We start from the raw sequence: 21070 nt of genomic DNA, 5'->3' as shown, positions 1-21070 counted from the left end.
TATGGTGGAGATTGGGTCATGATGTAAAATGCATTTCTTTTCTTTTTCTGTTTCTTTCTCTTTTTCTTTCTCTTTCTCTCTCTCTTTCTCTCTCTCCTACCTCCCTCCCTCCCTCCCTCCCTCCCTTCCTTCCTCCTTCCCTTCCTTCCTCCCTCCCTTCCTTCCTCCCTTCCTTCCTTCCTTCTTTCCTTCTTTCCTTCTTTCTTTCTTGTCTGGCTCTGTTGCCCAGGCTGGAGTGCAGTGGTGCGATCTTGGCTCACTGCAACCTCTGCACCCCAGGCTCAAGCAATCCTTCTACGTCAGCCCCCCGAGTAGCTGGAACTACAGGCATGTGCCACCATGCCCAGCTAATTTTTGTATTTTTTTTAGTAGAGACAGGGTTTCACCATGTTGTCCATGCTGGTCCCAATGGGCTCAAGCAGTCTGCCTGGTTTGGCCTCCCAAAGTGCTGGGATTACAGGCGTGAGCTACAAGGCCTGGACTAAAATGCTTTTCTTATTTTGGATTTTGAGATGTTTAAAAAACACTTTTTTAGAGAAGGTTGGGGAAAACCTAGGTTAAAAAAAAAAAAAAAGGAAAAGTCGGCTTTTCTAATGTAGCTAATTAACCCACTGTACACTTCACTGTAGTCTATTGTTTCTACCCTCTTGTGATTTTTATGAAATATTTGGGGAAAGTAACTGCTCTGTGAATGTAGTAGATTAAGTTTTAATGCCATGGGCAGAAGGAAAGTATGTGTATCCTAACTGTGCTCTCAAGCAGAGATGTTAATTCCAACTCTATGCTGTCTAGAAATATAATATGAGCCATAGATGCACTTTTATTTCATACTAGTTCCTTTGAGATCAATTAAAATAATACATTTCATTAAGTTATATCAATGTGCAATCAATATAAAATATTATTAAAAAGTCATTTTCCTTTGTTTTTATAGAAAGTCTGGTGTGTGTGTGTGTGTGTGTGTGTATATATATATATTATTTATTTATTTATTTATTTATTTATTTATTTATTTATTTGAGATGGAGTCTTGTACTGTCTCCCAGGCTGGAGGGCAATGGCGGGATCTCGGCTCACTGCAACCTCCACCTCCCGGGTTTACGCCATTCTCCTGCCTCAGCCTCCCGAGTAGCTGGGACTACAGGCACCTGCCACCACGCCCAGCTAATTTTTTGTATTTTTAGTAGTGACGGGGTTTCACCATGTTAGCCAGGATGGTCTCGGTCTCCTGACCTCGTGATCTGCCCGCCCCGGCCTCTCAAAGTGCTGGGATTACAGGCATGAGCCACTGTGCCCGGCCTCGGTGTATATTTTTTACCTACAGCACATCTCAAACTGGGTGGTGACATTTCAAGTGGTTAATGTCACGTGGGGCTCCTGGCCGCCATATTGTACAGTGCAGCTCAGGCTCACATAGGCACCCACTGAAGGATAGAAGGACCCTCAAACCACCCCTACCCTTGAGAGTGTGGGTGCCCTTTGCTGTGCCATGGAGGGAACAAGAGCCAACACTTCTGAGCTTCTGCTCAGCACCAGGCAGGGTTTGAGGCACTTTAATTACTCTACATCATCTTCACAGCAGCCTTATCAAGTGGGTGATGGTGGGACCACTTCATTGATGATGAAATGTGACCCAAGTGGGTTACATAACTTGTCTGAAGTGACCTAATTTGATATTTGGTAGATTGGAGCTAGGATTTGAACCTGGTTTGTTTGATTCTAATGCTTGTTCTTCTCATTTGCCCACATGGCTTCCCATAGCATGCTTGAAGGGTCATTTTAGAGGGTGTCTGTCCAAATCTCCTGTTGGTATAGGTGGGGGAGATTGAGCCATTGGAGGATGGCAGAAGTATTTTGTGGTGAGAGCTGTGATCTGGGAATTAAGTAACTTTCTTCTGATGATAAGAGCACATTGTAAAACATCGAAACAATGAAGAAAGGTATGAAGCAGAAAGAGAAAGTCCCATAGTCCCAGTTCCCAGAGTTAAGCACTGATTTTAGGTGTATATTCTAGACTTTTTTTATTTCTCAGTGCATACATAGTCTCTTTCTCCAAACCCCTCCCAGAGATGGCACAAAATTGTTCGTACACGTTGCTTTGCCTCTTGCCTCCCCTCCCCACCTCAGGGGGTCATGGACATCTTTCCATCTCGGAGACTCTGTTTTTGACCATGAGGGAGCTGAGGCCTAGAGAGATTAATTAAATGTCAGCCTGAAGTCTCCCAGCTGGAAGGGATGAAAATGGCCAGGCGCTCAGCTAATATTCATCCTTTTTCATTCATAGCCAACCTAATTTAACCTTCAGTAATCTCTTCTCTCTCGTTTTTCCTTCCAAGAGTTTCTCAGAGCTTTTCTGTGTGATTTAAGGGCCTTCCTTTCTTAGAAATCTGATAAGAATTGGAGCCATAACTATTTCTATCACTCAGTCATTTCTGAAACTGACTTCTAGTTTCTTTCTTGATATCTTTCTCCTTTTGTGGCCTCTGGATCTTCCTTGATTTTTGGCGAGATAAAAGCTTTCTTGTAACATTGCCCTCCATTTTTGTAGTTCCCAGTGACCTGACAGCAGAGGAGCGTCAAGAACTGGAGAACATCCGACGGAGAAAACAGGAGCTGCTGGCTGACATTCAGGTAGGAGAGTGGCATGGTGGTTTCACCAACGTAAGAACCACAGTGACAGTTCCATTTGTATGAAAGGGTGTCCTTTGCAGAGTGTCTCCTCAAGACACTTTTGACCTGCCCTCACTACAGCTCTGCACAAAGCGTAGGTGTTGATAATCAGTCACCTTTCCTCTACAGCTGAGGAGATGCAGTGTCAGAGAGGTTGAGTGGCTTGTCCAGGTTCACCCAGTTGGTCGGTTGTCGGAGCTGGAGATAGCCTGCAAGACTCCTGTCTCCTGAGTAGTCCTCTCTGCTGTGTTTGCCCTTGCGGAGCAGAGTGGATGAGGAGAGGCAATGAGAATGTGGGCTTCAGGCGAAGCTCGGCCCACGCCCTGGCTCTGGCTCTGCCGCTTACTGGCTGAATGATTTGAGACAAGAGAGTTCCGGTTCCTTGAACTTCAGTTTCTTCATCTGTCAGATCATGAAAACACCTGCTACACAGTTGGAAGGACTTAGCATGAAAGACAGCATAATTTCTGGTCCCTATAGATGTACTTAGTGATAGCAATTTTACAATTACAATTTTTCCAAGTTCCTTTTTGTAACTATCAAGCTTGTAGGAAATAAGTCTAGAAGCCAATAGTTGGATTATTTTCGCCCTAAGACAGCAAATGTTATTCTTTCAGAATTCTTCACAAGACATTAGGAGTGGGGTTAAGGAGGGAATCCTGTTGCCCAAAGTAGCAAAATGAGGAAAGACTTGACTTTCTCTGGAGTTGATTTAAGTATATTTTGATAGTTCTCCCTGATCCTTTGATTTCTGCTTCACTGGTAGATCGTGAGAAAGCTAAGCAGCTCTCCACTTAAGCCCCACTTCCCCGTGAGAGCCCATCCATTCTGACCAACAGTGTGCTGGAATGAGGAGGGTGGGTGCGGATGCACAGCCGATTTGATCAGACATTCCCTTTGCCAGCCGCTTGGTGGCATTGTTGCCCTGGCACAGCTACTGCAGGCTCTGCAGCCTGGGCTTTGGGTAGGAGACTTTGTCCTCTGAATTTTCTGGCATGCTTGTGTTTAGTAAGCTGCAGACTTGTTCTGAAAGATTGTGATGAGGCAGCCAGGTTTTGTTTTTCACACAGCATATATGCTTATAAACTTTCCTAGACCGTAAACTCCTTGAGGTCAGAGGCTGTATTCTTTTCTACCTTGGTGTTTTCTGGAATGCTTACTGTTTGGTAGGCACTCAATAAATATTTCTGAAACATGAATTTTCCTAATTTACTTTTTGCATTTTTGTCATATTTTGTTTCATTTTGCTTTATTTTGTTTTTGGTTGGAGGGAGTTATGTGAGATTTTAGAAGTTTTAATTTGATCTGCATCTGCCTTTCCTGCTGACTCTGGACTGTCTGTTTTATAGAGGCTGAAGGATGAGATAGCAGAAGTAGCTAATGAAATTGAAAACCTGGGATCCACAGAGGAAAGGTGAGTCTGCCCTGCTGCCAGGTGGCTTCTGTGGTTGTAATTCCTTAAAGCACCCAGGCCTTAATTATGCTTACGTGGCACATTGAAGGAAAAAGTCAGCTTTGTGTCTTTCTAATTCTAGCAAGCACATACACACCCATAATGTCTGCCTTCCATCCTTCACCGCAAGGCCTCCTGAACATAGGAGCTTCTTCCAGTGTTTAAAAAATTGAACTGGAGGCCGGGCGCGGTGGCTCACGGCTGTAATCCCAGCACTTTGGGAGGCCGAGGCAGGTGGATCACGAGGTCAAGAGATCGAGACCATCCTGGCCAACATGGTGAAACCCTGTCTCTACTCAAAATACAAAAATTAGACGGGTGTGGTGGTGCACACCTGTAGTCCCAGCTACTCGGGAGGCTGAGGCAGGAGAATTGCTTGAACCCGGGAGGTGGAGGTTGCAGTGAGCTGAGATCGCGCCACTGCACTCCAGCCTGGTGACAGAGCGAGACTCCGTCTCAAAAAAAAAAAAAAAAATTGAACTGGAGAACTTCAAAGGTCCCAGAAAGCCTTAAACTGCTCCTAAATTTTTATGTGAATTACTCCCCTCTGTTGTCCACTGTCGGTGTGCATTTTAAAGTTTCTGTTTTTCCTTTGTGTAAAGGAAAAGCTTAATGAATGCTGCTGATACGATTTCAAAGGGCTGGAGTGTCCAGTCATGTCTGAGGATAATCGTGAGCTTATTTGCACCTTCCTAATGCTTAAGGGAAGAAAATGTAGAAATGCGATGATAGTATAAAAGGACAAGGACTCTGCTTTTTTTTTTCCTTTTATTTTCATGAAATGTTAGTGACTTTGAGAGTTTAGTTTTGAATGGGGTTCCCAGACCGTTTTCTGACTGCTTAATGCAATAAATGAGCTGTTTCCAATTCACTACATGTCTGTATTTTTCTAAGCCTAAGTCTTCCTGTCTGGCTTCGTAGGACTGTTTGATTTGTTGTTTTAGACTCCTGTGGGCAGTGCCTTCAGGGTATAGTGAGGCTGAGTCCTCCACAGAAGGCAGCCAGCTCACCACGGCCAGTCTCTGTATTGTCCATTTGGTATTTTGGATTAGTTTCCCCTCTTTCCATTTTAAACACTCGTAGCTTAAATGAAACGGATACGTTGGACTTCATAAAAATTTAAAACTTCCGCTTTTGTAAAAGATAAAACTATTAAAAACTATTAAAAGAAATGAACAGGCAACAGATTAGAAGTAAATATTTGTAACAAATATATCTGAAAAAGGACTTGTATCTAGAATATATGATAGAAAGGCAGCCCAAATAAGAAAATGGGCAAAAAACTTGGACACTTTACAAAAGAAGCCATATGTGTAGTAGACACATGAAAAATGCTTAACATCATTAGTTGTAGGGGATGTAATTTAAAACCACCATGAAACGGTACTTCACATCCCCTATGATGGCTAGAATTAAAAAGACTGATGGTACCTCATGTTGGCAAGTGCTAGTGAGAATAAAATAATATAACCATTTGGGAAAGAAGTTTGGCAGTTTCATCAGCAATTCAACTCCTAGTTACTTAAGAGAAATGAAAACATGTCCATACAAAGACTTGTACAAGAATATCTATAGCATTCTTATATAAAATAACCAAAAGCTGGAAATACCCTGAATGGCTGCCAGCAGGTGACTGGATAAACAGGTCGAGGTAATAGACTATTACTCAGCAGTGTGAAGGAATGAACTGCTAGCGTGCAGCAGCACGGATGAATCTCACGAACATTGTGATGAGTGAAAGAAACTGTGGGCACCGTGTGCTTCCATGCGTGAGCATCTAGAACATGCAAACTAAGCTGTGCTAGTGTGCTAGCCGAAATCATGACAGTGCTGCCTCCGAGGTGGTTGCTGGGGCGGGGTGGGGTGGGGTTGACTAGGAAGGGCCATAGGGAACTTACAGGGATGGCAGGAATATTCTGTATTAATCTGAGTGGTGCTTCAAGGGTATATGCACTCATCAAAACAAATTGAACTGTGCACTTAAGGTGTGTGCATTTTGTTAAATGTAAATTTTACCTCGATCTTAAAAATGTAAAAAAAAATGGCTTTTTTCTGACTATAAAGGTAATACACCTTTACTGCAGAAAATTGGTAAAATACAGAAAAGTATAAAAAACAAATTTCTCATAAACACTTATCCCAGAGATAATCAGGATTCATATTTTGGTACGTTTCCTTTCTGTATATTCCGGTGTCTGCACACACATATTCAGAATTCAGTGTGCCCTTTGTTTTTCTCTTGATTAATTCTCTGTCAGTTACCATAGAACAGCAAGGAAACGCAGACACCAGGAACGTGAGTGCATCCAAAGTACTCAGCCAGTGAATTTGGGAAGACTTGTAACTCATGAACTGCATCTGAAGTTGTGAGTCAGGAAGTAGTCTTTAGGTTATTATTATTTTTTAATCTGGAACTTAAAATGGTTTTCCGGTATCGAAAGCGCCAAGACGGAAGTGATTCTGCACATCCCTGAGGATCCATCCATACGGGTACTCAGGCTCACCCTGCATTTGTTTCTCAAGCAGGCATTACATTTGCTCGGACTTTCTTATAGGAGAGAATTCATGTTTCTCATCGACGATCTGATGCATTTTGTAGGAATGATCCTAAATACTATTTAATCAAGCAGAAATAATATACTCATGTAGTACAGGATTTCACTTTCTGAAATGTATACGCGTCAGTTAACTAAGGCGATCCAGTAGCAGTAAGCTGTTTTCCTTTGGACACCTTAACTGGGGTGTCAGACCTGTGTAGGCTGGGGAAAGCCACTTAGAGAAGTAGCTGCCTAAGGCCTAGAGCTATAGGGGCTCCAAGTGGGGCAGATAGAGAAGTGAGCTGGCTAGCTAATGAAATTAGGGAGCCATCTCTGGTGTGTGTCCCAGGCAGTCATGTGGCACAGACTGTGACTGGCGGATATCTGGGAGTGTGCGTTCTGGTGGCTGCAGGAAAGCCTTTGGTGAGGACTGGACTGAGGCCCAGGAAGCTGAGCATTCCCAGGAGTTTCACCCCTTGCTTCTGTGGGCACCTCTGACGCTGCCTCACCACTTACACTGGAAACCATGAAACAGGCCTTCCTTGTGGTATTTGTTTGGAAATACTGATCAAAGTAATCTTCCTGGATTTAGAAAAAAATGATTAGACAATCATTTTAGTTAAATAGGAATTTCTAGATACCTGGTCATAACCCTTCATTCTGGCTGAAATTAAATGGTGTTTCCCCCATGACTTTGTTTCCTAAGGCAGCTGTTGACAGGGGAGCCCAGATTATCTTACACCTGGAAGTTCTGATACTACTCACAGTTTTCAGGTGTTCCTTTCAAAAGGTCAAAACAGCCTGGATGCGATGACTCATGCCTATAATACCAGCATTTTGGGAGGCCAAGGTAGGAGGATTGCTTGAGGCCAGGAGTTTAAGACCAGCCTGGGTTACATAGCAAGACTCTGTCTCTACAAAATATTTTAAAAAGTAGCCAGTTGTGGTAGTATCTGCTTGTAGTCCTAGTTACTCAGGAGGCTGAGGCCGGAGGATCACTTGAGCTCAGGAGTTAAAGGTTGCGGTGAGCCACAGTCACACCACTGTACTCCAGCCTGGGTGACAGAGCAAGACCCTGCCTGTAACAAAAACAAAAACACAAAAAACACCAACCCTCAAAACACTTAGGAATATTTTCTTCCCTCCATGGATTTAGCTAGAGAACACATGTGTTCTTTAAGGCAATAACATTTTATGATTTTATTTCCGAGCAACTTTTTTGCTCTCGGAGATTATAAAATTACTATTGATATTGATGGCAGTGGTTCTTAAATTTGGGTGCATACCAGAATTACTGCAGGAGGTTTTAAAAATTCAAATTCCTAGGTTCTGCCCCTTGTACTTCTGAGTTACTCAGCCGGTCCAGGGCCTTGCTACTCAGACTCCACACATGGGATCATGTTAAACATACAGCAGAAGCACAGGCCCCTTCTCAGACATAGAGTCAGAATCTGTTTTGTTGAGGCCCCAGGTGACGTGTATGTATAAACGAGCGGAGCGTCTTCACGTCTGATATGCTCCCAAGGCTGCTGGTTGGTGGACCAGACTTTGAGAAGCTTGGTCTGTGAATCTGCATTTTTCATTCTGATACAGTCAAGAAAACTGCCTATTATTTAGCAACTTCTTAAAAAGTTAAATACAGATGTACCGTATGACCCAGCAGTGTCCACCCCTGGGTATCTACCCAAGGAAAATGAAAACGTGTCCACACAAAGACATATATGCAAATGCTGATAGCAGCCTTCTGCATAATTGTCCCAAACTGTAAACAGCCTAAGTGTCCATCATCTGGTGAATGGATAAACAGATGTGGTTTATCCATACCATGGAAGATGACCCAGCAGCAAGAAGGCATGTAGTACTGGCCCACGCTCCAGCACCATGACCTTGACAACATTATGCTAATGAAAGAAGCCAGATCTGAAAATCCACATCTTTTATGATTCTGTTTGTATGATATGTCCAGAATAGGCAAATCTGTGGAGACAGACAATAGATTAATAGTTGCCTGGGGATGGAGGTAGAAGTAAGGATTAACTGTAAAAAGGTGTGAGGAATTCTGTAGGGGAGATGAAAATGTTCTAAAACTGGATTATGGTGATGTTGCACAACTTAGTAAGTATACTAAAAATTCAAATATGTACCTACAGTAGGAGTATTATAAGTAAATTATACCCTGATAAAGTTTTTTTTTTTTTTTTTTTTTTTTGGAGACGGAGTCTCACTCTGTCACCCGGGCTAGAGTGCAGTGGTGGATCTCCACTCACTCCAACCTCCAACTCCCAAATTCAAGTGATTCTCCTGCTTCAGCCTCCCGAGTAGCTGGGATTACAGGTGCCCACCACCATGCCTGGCTAATTTTTGTATTTTTAGTAGAGACAGGGTTTCACCATGTTGGCTGGGCTGGTCTTGAACTCCTGACCTTGTGATCCACCCACCTCGGCCTCCCAAAGTGCTGGGATTACAGGCATGAGCCACTGTGCCCGGCCTACCCTGATAAAGTTTTTTTAAAAATCATGTTAAAAAAAGAAAACTGGCTGGGTACAGTGGCTTATGCCTGTAATCCCAGCACTTTGGGAGGCTGACGCAGGCAGATCATTTGAGCCCAAGAGTTTGAGACTAGCCTGGGCAACACAGTGAGCATGGTGGCATGCGCCTGTGGTCCCAGCTACTTGGGAGGCTGAGGTGGGAGGATCACTTGAGCCCAGGAGGCAGAGGTTGCAATGAGCCGAGATAGCACCACTGCACTTCAGCCTTCAGACAGAGAGAGACCCTGTCTCAAAAAAAAATAAAGAAAACCTCTGTTCCAGGGTAGAAGGAGCAAATGAGCTTGGAGCTTGGAGCCAGGTTCAGGCTTCAGGTTTCAGTTGGCCTTTCATAGTTCCACCAGATTATGCCTGTTGCTTTCCTGGATAAATCTTTCAAAAACCTGTGTAAATCAGTGGAAATCATATTAGTCTTTCAAGCCTTTCCGATGGCCTGAAGTACTAAAATGGCTGTGATGGTTGTTTTACAGGAAAAACATGCAGAGGAACAAACAGGTAGCCATGGGCAGGAAAAAATTTAATATGGACCCTAAAAAGGTAAGTGAGAAAGAAGCGGGAAGTGGTCCATATTAGATGGGGTTTTTTTATAGTGCTCAGATAGACCCTAAAAACGTTTTTTTCCAAGCGTTACAGTTCATGTTGCCGTTTTGTAGAGCAAATGTTATGCACTAAGCCCTTGTTCCTAAACTGTGACTCCCCGGCTTTATAGGTCACTTAGCAAGTATTTATTAAATATTCCAGTGCACCCACACCCATTTCTTCCTGTGCCCTTTCCCCTTCTTTTCAACTGTTTCCCAGCAAAGCATCATTGGCGTCTTTGTTGTCTTTTTCTAGGGGATCCAGTTCTTAATAGAGAACGACCTCCTGAAGAACACTTGTGAAGACATTGCCCAGTTCTTATATAAAGGCGAAGGGCTCAACAAGACAGCCATCGGCGACTACCTAGGGGAGAGGTAAGGCCTTGGGGATTATGCGCATGCTAGGGAAGGCTGTTCAGGAACGACACAAAGAAACAAACTCCCAAATACTCTGAAGTTCTTGGAGGGGTTTTTGCCTTAAAGCATCTGTAGCCCCACTGGAGTTGAGGGGAGGCTTTTCTGGGGAATAGTGATGGGTCTTTTCTGGGGGTCATGGAGACATCTTGCTTGTTCAGCCAGTCAGCAGAGCTAGCCAGTCTTCTTGCGGACAGTGTGCACAAGTGGCTGTCTGGGCAGGAGCCACAGGACCACAGGACGCAGTGTAGGAGACATGGCCTGGCTGGAGATTCTCAGTGTTGGTGCCTGACTCCTGCTTTCTCTCCCATTTTTTGTCTTTTCTCGATAGAGATGAGTTTAATATCCAGGTTCTTCATGCATTTGTGGAGCTGCATGAGTTCACTGATCTTAATCTCGTCCAGGCACTACGGTGAGTATTCTTGAGGTGAGCCCCTTTGGAAGGAGTGGGAGGCTAGCCTTTGATCATGAGTCTGTCCTGGGGGGCATTTTATTGAAATTATATCTTTGGGTATGATTTGAATATTTTGAAGTATTTTGGAGGGAAGAAATCTATTGGTCTCTGACTGGGAATGACTGGATGGTCAAGGGGAATTCAATTCTGTTACGTTCTGGAGGCCGATTCTGTAACACTCTTCCTTGAGTCTTATATTTGAGGTTTTAGAAATTGATGAATACTTAAATTTTGAAATTTTTCAGTTTAGAAAATCCTTTAATTTCTTGCCCTGGAATAAGTAGTTATACATTTCATTTTGGAAAGAAAAAAGTAAACCTTAATTTTTTATTAAATCTGTTACCTCATGCCTTTTAAGAAACTGTCATTCTGTATTTTCACTGCTGTAGGTGTAAATAATGACTTCATCTTTTGTGCTATCATTTAGCTGGATGGAAACAATCCACAATTAAACCTGTCAGCTGTGGGTCTTTCTTTCTTTGACTTAAAGGGATCGATTGTTAATGCTTTGACAAGACAATCTTCTCTTTTTCTGCCACCCATATTGTTTCCGGAAATAGCGTTTGTTTAAAATGAGCATTATCTATGTTTCAGTCTTGTATATTATTCTGAGGAGGGAAACCACTCCTCAGTAGGGATTGTTTCCCTCCTAATTTTTCACTTTTTCCTAAGAAAAATTTTACTTTTGATTAAGGTAACAGTGGTGTGGATGGCAACTTTGCATCTGTTCAGAGTTACAGTAACAGAAGGCTGCAGCCCAGCAGGGTTCCCTTTGCACTTTGATGTTAAAAAATCATTGGCAGTGGTCAGGCACCGTGGCTCACACCTGTACTCCCAGCACTTTGGGAGGCTGAGGCGGGTGGATCACTTGAGGCCAGGAGTTTGAGACCAGCCTGGCCAGCATGGTGAAACCCCGTCTCTACTAAAAATACAAAAAATTAGCCGGGCATGGTGGCGTGTGCCTGTAGTCCCGGCTACTCGGGAGGCTGAGGCAGAAGATTGCCTGAACCCGGCAGGCAGAGGTTGCAGTGAGCCAAGATCACGCCACTGCACTCCAGCCTGGGTGACAGAGTGAGACTCCATCTCAAAAAAAAAAAGAAAAAAAAAATCATTGGCAGTTTAACAATTCATAGAGAAATAAATTGCCTCCCCAAGTTCTGGAACACTCTGTCTTTACCCACTCAGGCAGTTCCTGTGGAGCTTCCGGCTACCCGGAGAGGCCCAGAAGATCGACCGGATGATGGAGGCGTTTGCCCAGCGATATTGTCAGTGCAATAATGGCGTGTTCCAGTCCACGGGTAAATACGATCATTCATCCTAGTTTATGATGGGCGTTTTACACTGGATTATTTTCTTGGCACCAGATAATTTCTAAAACAAAAGGGCTGAGATTCATGCCTAGGAACGTTTACTCAATGATAGTTATAATAGTAAAATGTTGGAAATAACCTGAAAGTCTGACATTAAGGCACTATGAATTTAAATTGTGGTACCTCTGAACTACGAAATACACAGCTATTAAAAACCATGTTTTAGCTGCATGCAGTGGCTCACACTGGTAATGTCAGCACCTTGGGTGGGAGGCCGAGGTGAGAGGATTGCTTGAGGCTAGGAGTTTGAGACCAGCCTGGGCAACATTATGAGACCCTTTCTCCAAAAAAATTTTTAAAAATTAGCCAGGTGTGGTGGCTTATGCCTGTAGTCCCGGCTATTTGTGAGGCTGAGGCAGGAGGATCTCTTGAGCCCAAGAGTTTACGACTACACGCAGTGAGCTATGATTGCACCACAGCACTCCAAGCCTGGGTGACAGAGTGAGACCCTGTCTCAAAACAAAAACTAAAGAAACCCATATTGTTACAAAGAATTTTTATTGACATAGGAGAATGATATTAAGATTAGCAAAAAAGCATGTGTATGTATTTGTTTGTTTCCAGTTTTGTTACAGTATATATCTGTGAGATAAATATGTGGTGAGTTATACATAGTCATATTTACGTAGAGGAAATAAAGCAAAATAAATTATTGCTAGATAGTGGGATTATGGGTCATTACAGGTCATTTTGTTTTAAACACATTGTGTTTTTCAGAGTTTCTACAGTGTGTGTATTCTCCTTTCCAATCTGAAAAAATAAACAGCTTTAAGTCTTGAATACTTTATATACTTTTTCGTGCCTTGCTCCTTTCAGACAGCAGTGTGCCCTGGAGTGTACCCGTACATGTGGATTCATCTCATTCTTTTGAGAACATGTTTTTTTTTTTTTTTCTGAGATGGAGTCTCACTCTGTCGCCCAGGCTGGAGTGCAGTGGCGCTATCTCGGCTCACTGCAAGCTCTGCCTCCCAGGTTCAAGCAATTCTCCTGCCTCGGCCTCCCAAGTTGCTGGGATTACAGGCGCGTGCAGCCACGCCTGGCTAATTTTTGTATTTTAGTAGAGACGGGTTTTCACCATGTGGGTCAGGCTAGGCTTGAACTCCTGACCTCATGATCTGCCTGCCTTGGCCTCCCAAAGTGCAGGGATTACAGGTGTAAGCCACTGCATCTGGCCGAGAACATGGTTTTTTATTCCTGATTTCATCTGATACCACTCTTGCTCTTGCGGGTGGGATGTTTCTGAACATCTGAGCATGCAACGGCTCCCCTTTGCTTTTCTCTCATCTTTAGATACTTGTTACGTCCTCTCCTTTGCCATCATCATGTTGAACACCAGTCTGCACAACCCCAATGTCAAAGATAAGCCCACTGTGGAGAGGTTCATTGCCATGAACCGAGGCATCAATGATGGGGGAGACCTGCCGGAGGAGCTCCTCCGGGTAAGCAAGGAAGAATGGTCTTCATTCAAGTCAAGAAAGAGTTCACTGGGAACAGGATCGTCTTTTGTAGGAAGGAAGAAAAAACATACAATTTATCAAGGGTCTCCTCTTTTAATTTGTTTAACCATGTGAATTTCATTAAGAAAGTGGTAGTAAGGCCCAGCTAGGGAATCAGGGAGGGGACAGTGGTTTGTAAACATGAAACTAAAAGCTTGAATAGAAGTCAGGCTGCTTCTTTATTTTCCTAATTGGGAAGGCTTATTTATTTTGTCACTGTGAGCTGCCTGAAAGCAGAAATGGTCATAATCTTCTAGTCTCAGCATCTAGCAGGCTTGGCTTACTATAGGCACATGAATGCTTGTGGAATGAATGAAGAGAAAGGGGAGGAGGAAAAAATATTTCTAGAATCAGAGACATAAATTGTCATCTTTTATCCCAGAATCTCTATGAGAGCATAAAAAATGAACCCTTTAAAATCCCAGAAGACGACGGGAATGACCTCACTCACACTTTCTTCAATCCAGACCGAGAAGGCTGGCTATTGAAACTCGGTAAGCGCACCTCTGAGTCAGGGCTCCTAAAGCTGAGACTTAGGAAGAAAGGCGGTGTGTGTGCGTGTGTGCGTGCGTGCGTGTGTGCGCGTGTGCGTGTTTGTGCGTGTGCATGTGTGCGCGTGCGTGTGTGTGCACGCGCATGCATGTTCACACACATTCATGGACACACACGCACCATGTAGGAAAGGGGGTGGCTTATAGAGGACTCCAGAGAGACTTTGGTATGAGTTCTGTTCTAACAAAGGTCGGCTTCCAAAAGGGAAGTGACTTCATAGTCATTGCCCCCATGGGACACAGAGACTACTGGGGACAGACTTACTCCACCATAAATATTGCCCACATGTGTCTGTGCTCCACATTTTTACCCTTGAATTGGTTGACCAGGTTTTGTTTCAAGGCAGTTCCCTGAGCACCTGGTCCGTTTGCCTTCCCTGTCCCCATAACCACTGGGAGGGTGGCCGACCTTGTCCATCTTTCTACTTCCCATCCCACAGATTTGTACCTGGCGCTCCTGCCCCCACCCCAGTGCATCGTCACTTCCTTCTGCATCTGGCTCCCCCACAGGCAGTGTGCATGGCAAGCCTAGAGCCCTTGGCTGCAGCTCAATCCACAGCACTCTTACTCATTCTTGGGCAGTGGTTTTTTTTTTTTCTTTTTTTTTTCCCCTCCTTTTCAATCTGAATCAGCCACATTAATTATTTTGTTCATTTAGAAAAGCTGAAAATGCATTTCTCTTCCCTTTGCCAGAAGTGATGAGCTTGTATTGCTGAGATTTGTGGTCATGCCTTGCCGTGAAGGTGACAGGGTAATCAATAGGAAAGACTTTAGTAGGGTTTTCATACACATTCATGTCCACATGTGTTTACTTTATTAATGGTTTCAGAACATAGAGCTCTAGACTCTCTGGACATAATGATGTCCTTTTTTTTTTTTTTTTTTTGGACACTAGCAGGGTACTTTCCTCTGTTGCCTTCTGCTTTAGCCTTTGATGAGTTGGGTTCTCACATTAGCAGGGGCTGTTCCGTCCTATACCAGCCCAACTGCTTGCCCCAGTGATTAGAAGTCAGTACTCTCTTGGTCATTACTGACACATCTGGGAAGGCTAAAATGGAATCCTTTATTTCTGACTAGGTCAGATAGCAGTAGACTTTATATTTCCTTTTAAAGTCATATCCCAAGTCCTTGTGCTTATACATAATGACTTAATTCATAAATTCCCCTTACAGCACCACTTCACCGATCAGTTTTAAATATCTCTTGAATTGGCCATCATTTTATATATCTTTAAGCCCCCAGAATCTTTGAAGTTAAGGCTCTAAAATTACTAACCCCATAGGCAGCCTTCCCTTCCACATTCCTATTGCCAAGTGGATGGAGTTGAAAGGAAACCTACTGGAAACGTTTAAAGTGTGTTCAAGTTTGGATTTACTTCCCCCTACAGCGAGATTTGTTTAAATGCTAATACTAAGTGTTAGCTTTGACAGCCCAGATACTAAAATTAGAACAGTACAAAGATTATCTTGGTTCTTAGACCAGGATGACATGCAAATTCATGAGGCATCTCGTATTTTAAAAAAGAGAAAATTTAACCAAGTGTGGGACTCAGTTTTAGCTCATTGCATTACTTTTTCTAAACCTCCATCAAATCCTTCTAGACTCTGAATATTGTGTTTTCATTGTAGCACACTTAGTATCACTCTTTGTGTTTATGTGCTGCAGAAGGCAGGGCTTCCAGCCGTCTGTAGCTGTGTGTATATGTCTGTGTATGCATATAGCCATAAGAATGTGTATTCTTGTGTATACACATCAGTACATGTGTACTCATGGGTATATGTGTGTGCATTCTTACACACACTTTAAAAAGTGACAGCCATCTCAAGAAAGACATTTAATTTTCCCTGAAATAACCTTAGCTTTCTTTGCTCTGATTCTGGATATACTAGTAAACATTGGCTTTGTAAAAGCCGATTTGTGGCATCTTTGGGGCCAGGTTTCCAGTAGTGCCTCAAATCTTGCCTTGATGAGGTGGAACGTGGCATGTAAGAGCCCCTCGTTCACGTGCCAGACAGTAGTGGGATCATTTGCCCGTTGAGTGTTTTTAGTTCAGCTCTCTCCCCAGGCAGGCATGAATGTGACTGATACATTGCACTTTAAGATTAAGGAATCGGGTTTAATTTCTTTGTTTTAATTTTCTTTTCTCCCTCATTTGTATGTTTCCATGATTTTGGCTCTCCTTTTCCTTGCCCCAAACTCCAGGAGGTATGTAACCCTCAGCCTGCTCGCTCGCTCTGCTAGGCCACTGTCATTACTGCAGCATTTTCTGATTTCGTTATTTTTGGTTATTTTGTTTTTTAATTGCCGGTGGTAGTGTTAATGCTGCTTCTAACTTATTGTACAGTCCCTAGGGAACTGGTCAGGATCAGGGGTTTGGAGCAATTTTCGTTTTTCTTTTTTGGAGGAGTATATGTTATATTCATTACTGAATGCAGTAATGCAAGAAAACATACTAAGAGTGGGTTTGTAAAAGCAGAGGAAGTTTCCATGACATTTTCACTTGGAATTATTGGCTAAGACATGCGCTATGTTTGATATTCAATTTGACGTCCATTAATCAGCCTGATTGAAAGTTAATCTCTGACGTGGGGAAGAGGAGAAAGAAGAGAAGGAAGTCTTTCTTTTTTCTTCTTTTTTCAAGCTGAGACTTACTCCAGAGAGAACAAAGTCTTGACTTCCCAAAGCTATGGAAAGCTTCTGATTTACCATGATGGAAAAGCAAACTAGGGAAAGAACTAAATTAGATGATACTTAAGACATTTGCCTTTGCACGAAAAGGGGAAATGGTATTTCCTAAACTCAAAATGATACCGAGTGAAGGTGAAAAAAACAAGTCCAAACCAAAAAACCCTCCCTGAAGTCCTCGTGTTTAGTTTCCTGGGGATCAGAGAAGGGTATTAACAGCCTCGGCTCTGTTGTTATGTTTTGTTTTGCTCCCTCGCTTTTTCAGCGAGTCCTCGTTAAAGCCCCGAATCGGTCTCCTGGTTATGGTTTTGGTGTCTCCTCTCCATTTGCTGGTTTTTTTGGGGAAACATATTTTCTTAGCCCAAGACCCCTCAGGTTTGTGCCTAAGCATTCCCTGAGCAGTAGCTACACTTAAAAAGAACAACCCCAAACACGCACAGTTACTGAGATGCTTCAGGGACTTGTCAGGTTGTTCTCAACTGTAGGGGAAGATGGCATCCGGCCTTGATGTCTCGGGGAGGTCACAGGAGGCCTGAGGAGCCGTGCAGTGGGAGGTGGTCCTGTGAGTTCCACAGGGACTGTCCTAGGCGCACATTGATCTGTCTGCTTGTTTCATGTCTGCTTTTCTTTCCACGTGGAAATGTTCCCCGTGGGCCCACAGTGATGCTTTATGGTAGAGGTCTCTGTAATGCAACAAATTGTCCAGGCATAATAACCAAGCTTTTGTAATCAGGCAGAGAATTTCTTCTGGCTTTGCTTTTTCTCCTTGATTTCTTTCCATCTTGTTTCTTTTAGCATCTGACTCGCTTTTTCCATGATCTCCTATGTCCGAAGGGTTCCCCGGGTAGTGTCCTGTGATGGAGCGCATGGGAGGTCAGCATGGGTTGATGTTCCCTTTGTGCCGAGCCTCCGTGGGCAACCAATGGCCCGCCAGGCTGGAAGACCAAAGTTCTCAGACTCTGAATTGGTGGAGGGGGTTCCTTTTTAAGAACAAATTGGCTTCAATCCTGAATATAGTCCTTGCCTTCTTTATCCTCCTTATTTAATTCTGCCCGGGCTTTCCTGTTTTCCACATGCATGTCATAGTATCCATTTATGGTTTTCTCTTAATTCATGCCATCTAACCTTTAGGGACCAGTGGCAAGGGCTCACATGAAACTTAGAAGTTACTGGAGGGAGAGTCTCAATTTGCTTGATATAGCACAGGATGGGCAGGTGGAGGGCACGTGCTTGCTTACAGCAAATTCCCTCGCATAACCTAGATCTGTGTCATTTGGAATCTTGGCAATTAATGATCAGTCACGTAAGCCCGCCTAGGGTTCAGCATCCAAGCAGGGTGCTAAAAACTGGCCTGAAAGTCCAGTGGTCCTTTTACTTGTCTGCCAGGACCTACGCTGGACATTTTCTTTTCATAACATTATTTGCATACTCCCCTTAGGTTTCTCTGGTGTGAGCATGCAGGCAGGTCCTGGCAGTTAGAATAATCCCTGTAAAACCATTCTCCTCTTTGCTCAGCTATTTGTGATGAGGGCAAGAGAGAAAGCATGATCGGAGGTATGAGATTTATGCCCCATGATCCTTGCTATTTAGGAAGATTGGAGAAGCGGTATTGTCTGTAGGTTAAGTCTTAGCAAAAGAGCAGGCACAAGAAGTGTTTCTAGAATGCCATGCATAGCTTCACAGGTCAAGGCCTTAGGGATAAGTTTTGAGTGGTTCATGTTCAGAAAATGTTCCCTTGATGGGAGAGAGGTGGAGGAAGAGAAAGCCTGTGGTCCCGATTTGACAGCAGGTGTAGCTTCATTCAGATAGGCTTGGGGAAATTTTTCCTTCCTTCATGTCTGTCTCAGCATAACTTCACGGCCCCAACCCCAACTTTTTTTTTTTTCTTTTTTTTTTCTTTTTTTTTGAGAGGGAGTCTCCCTGTGTCACCCAGGCGGGAGTGCAGTGGTGCAATCTTGGCTCACTGCAACCTCCACCTCCCAGTTCAAGTGACTCTCATGCTTCAGCCTCCTGAGTAGCTGGAACTATAGGCATGTGCCACCACCCCTGGCTAATTTTTATACTTTTAGTAGAGATGGGGATTCACCATGTTGGCCGGCTGGTCTTGAACTCCTGACCTCAAGCGACCCACCCACCTTGACCTCCCAGAGTGCTGGGATTATAGACGTGAGCCCCTGTGCCTAGCCATGACCCCAGTGTTTTGTGCTGAGAAATACTAAAAAGAACCAAGGGAGGCCCTTGCCAGCCTCCCAGCCACCACCGCCAGAGCTTGTTTTGCCATGGCTGTATTTGCCAGCTGTTTCTGTTATAAGCTCCAGGTGAGAAGCCCAGAACGGAAAAGGCTCCTGAGGCCACCTCTCAGTACGAGTTGATTCTTCCTTGATAGAGGAATTCTGCTTTGATTCTCACCCAGGACCCGGGAGATTTTGTTTTCAGGACACTAGCACATAAGGTTAAGAGCCAGTGTAGAAGCTCACTGTAATCATGAAGGTGAAGAAGAGAGTAGAACCATGGGGATTTACTTCGTGTTCCAGGGAAAGTGTGGATTTGAAGGCTCCCAGCATCTCCCCTCCTGCTTCCTCCTTCCTTCACTTCCAGTGAAACACTCCTTATGTGCCGGGCTGCTTGTCAGTAGCAGAGTAGCCTGCACTAGGTGCTGACCCTTCCCTCTTTTTCTGTTCTTTGGCAATTTCTACCACATAGGCTTTTTGCTGACTCTGGCAAATTTGCATTGTATGTCATTATTGCCCCGGGTTTTCTCGCCACAAACCCATGCTCATCCTGCCGTCCCGATTCCATCTCCGGGTGTCACCTAGATGCGCTTGCTCTGCTTGTACCCACAGGCTTTCACTTTGTGAAAGACGCTTCTGTTTCAGCTCTGTGTCTTGTTACTGATGTCAATGTTGTGGGCTCCACGTTCTCCTGATGCCTCTCCCCCAACCCTCTCTGAGAAGAGAGGGTGTCGTGTGTGTCGTGGAGCCTGCACTTGTCTGGTTGTCTCTTGTCGAACGTGCATCTCTTTTTGCTCTGCAGGTGGCAGGGTAAAGACTTGGAAGAGACGCTGGTTCATTCTGACTGACAACTGCCTTTACTACTTTGAGTATACCACGGTGAGCACCTGCTAGTCGGCCTCCAGACTAGGGATGGGCAAGGCCTCCGGTTCCAAGTGTCTCTAATCAGACATGGTTGAGGAGACCGTTGGATTTGCCCTTCAGTATCTGTGGGGGATGGGGGAGAGTTTAAGCAAAGTGCAAGAACTGAAGTAAATCTCAGAATGGGGAACCCCTGAGAAGAGGTGCGTGCCTTAAAGGGCACGGGCTCAGAGCAGGCACCCGGTTCTGGTGGGACAGGAGATACCTGGCCTGGAGGAGGGGGAGCACTAGAAATGGGTTTTGGAACTGGGCTAGAAAGAATGAATTTGCATTGGTTGCCGAGAAAGAGTATGTGGCCCTAATTGAAAGGGAGATGAAAAGAAAAAGGAAATAATCGTGATTTAGAAAATTCACCTATTCTGGGTTAGCAGAAATGTGATTTCAGAAGAAACAGCCCAAGGGGTAAAATATATAGTGGGGGAAAAGGAAGTGAAGTGAAATGGGAAAAGTCAATTTGAGATTATCTGGAGTTTTAAGAAGTTTTGTTGGTTTTTATTCAGTGGGAGAGACTTATAGCTGCAAATTTGTGTTTTATATACGTATATCTCTTTTGTAATAATAGCCAAAGAAAGTAAAAATCATAAATTAGCTCTTTTCAGAGCTCCCTCTAAGCAAGGTACCCAGAACCCTGGCAAGTTAGCACTTGGTGTGGAGACCGTGGCTCACCGGACTGGTGATGGGGTGCTTTTTCATTTCTGCCACCTTTCTTGGTCATTGTAAGGGCAAAGCGGGCATACTCCCATGGCATCGAACTTTTGTCTTAAAGTAAATCAAGGCCGTTGAGTTGAGAATGCTTTGCTTTTGTTCTCCAAGTGTATCTTCATGGAGCAAAAGTCATTGATCCCACTGAGAAAATTAAGACTCAGAAGTATCTTTTAAAATCAGTTTAGAGCAAAATGGGGCTTAAGTAAAACATTGAAATCCTGACCATATTCACCAGTCACTTATTTAGGACCAAGAAACAGGTACACGCCTTGGCATTTTCTGCTGTGAGGTGTGAAGATGGGTTTCTGTCGTGTCTAACACTTAGCGTTGTTCTCCATCCCCATGGACATCATGCACATGCAGCTTCTCACCCAGGGAATGCACTTCGTAGCCCATCAGGCTGCAGGCAAGAGCCGCTGCTTCTGATGGTTTGGTGACTGAGGATAGTAAATCACTGTG

The 21070-nt window shown here is 43.9% G+C and overlaps 1 protein-coding gene and 1 pseudogene across 21 annotated transcripts in view; both read left to right on the top strand.

Moving 5' to 3' along the window:
• CYTH1 (cytohesin 1) overlaps window positions 1-21070 on the top strand; it is a 108226-nt gene that overhangs the window by 69993 nt on the left and 17163 nt on the right. For 10 of the 21 annotated variants that reach the window (NM_017456.4, NM_001365037.2, NM_001394677.1 and 7 more), the window contains 9 exons: window positions 2549-2631; window positions 4020-4084; window positions 9677-9743; window positions 10041-10159; window positions 10530-10610; window positions 11838-11950; window positions 13313-13461; window positions 13901-14012; window positions 19788-19864. In NM_017456.4, coding sequence (NP_059430.2) covers window positions 2549-2631; window positions 4020-4084; window positions 9677-9743; window positions 10041-10159; window positions 10530-10610; window positions 11838-11950; window positions 13313-13461; window positions 13901-14012; window positions 19788-19864 — 866 coding nt within the window. Of the gene's footprint in view, window positions 1-2548; window positions 2632-3436; window positions 3635-4019; window positions 4085-9676; window positions 9744-10040; window positions 10160-10529; window positions 10611-11837; window positions 11951-13312; window positions 13462-13900; window positions 14014-16271; window positions 16275-19785; window positions 19865-21070 lie in introns of those variants that run through there. The other 11 variants (XM_047437076.1, XM_011525475.4, XM_047437079.1 and 8 more) reach the window with 4 other exon arrangements.
• RNU6-638P (RNA, U6 small nuclear 638, pseudogene) lies at window positions 15484-15587 on the top strand (annotated as a pseudogene).

This window comes from Homo sapiens, chromosome 17 (assembly GCF_000001405.40).
Source record: "Homo sapiens chromosome 17, GRCh38.p14 Primary Assembly".
Classification (NCBI taxonomy): domain Eukaryota; kingdom Metazoa; phylum Chordata; class Mammalia; order Primates; family Hominidae; genus Homo; species Homo sapiens.
The sequence above is the reverse complement of the archived record's forward strand: the minus strand, read 5'-3'. Positions and strand labels throughout refer to the sequence as shown.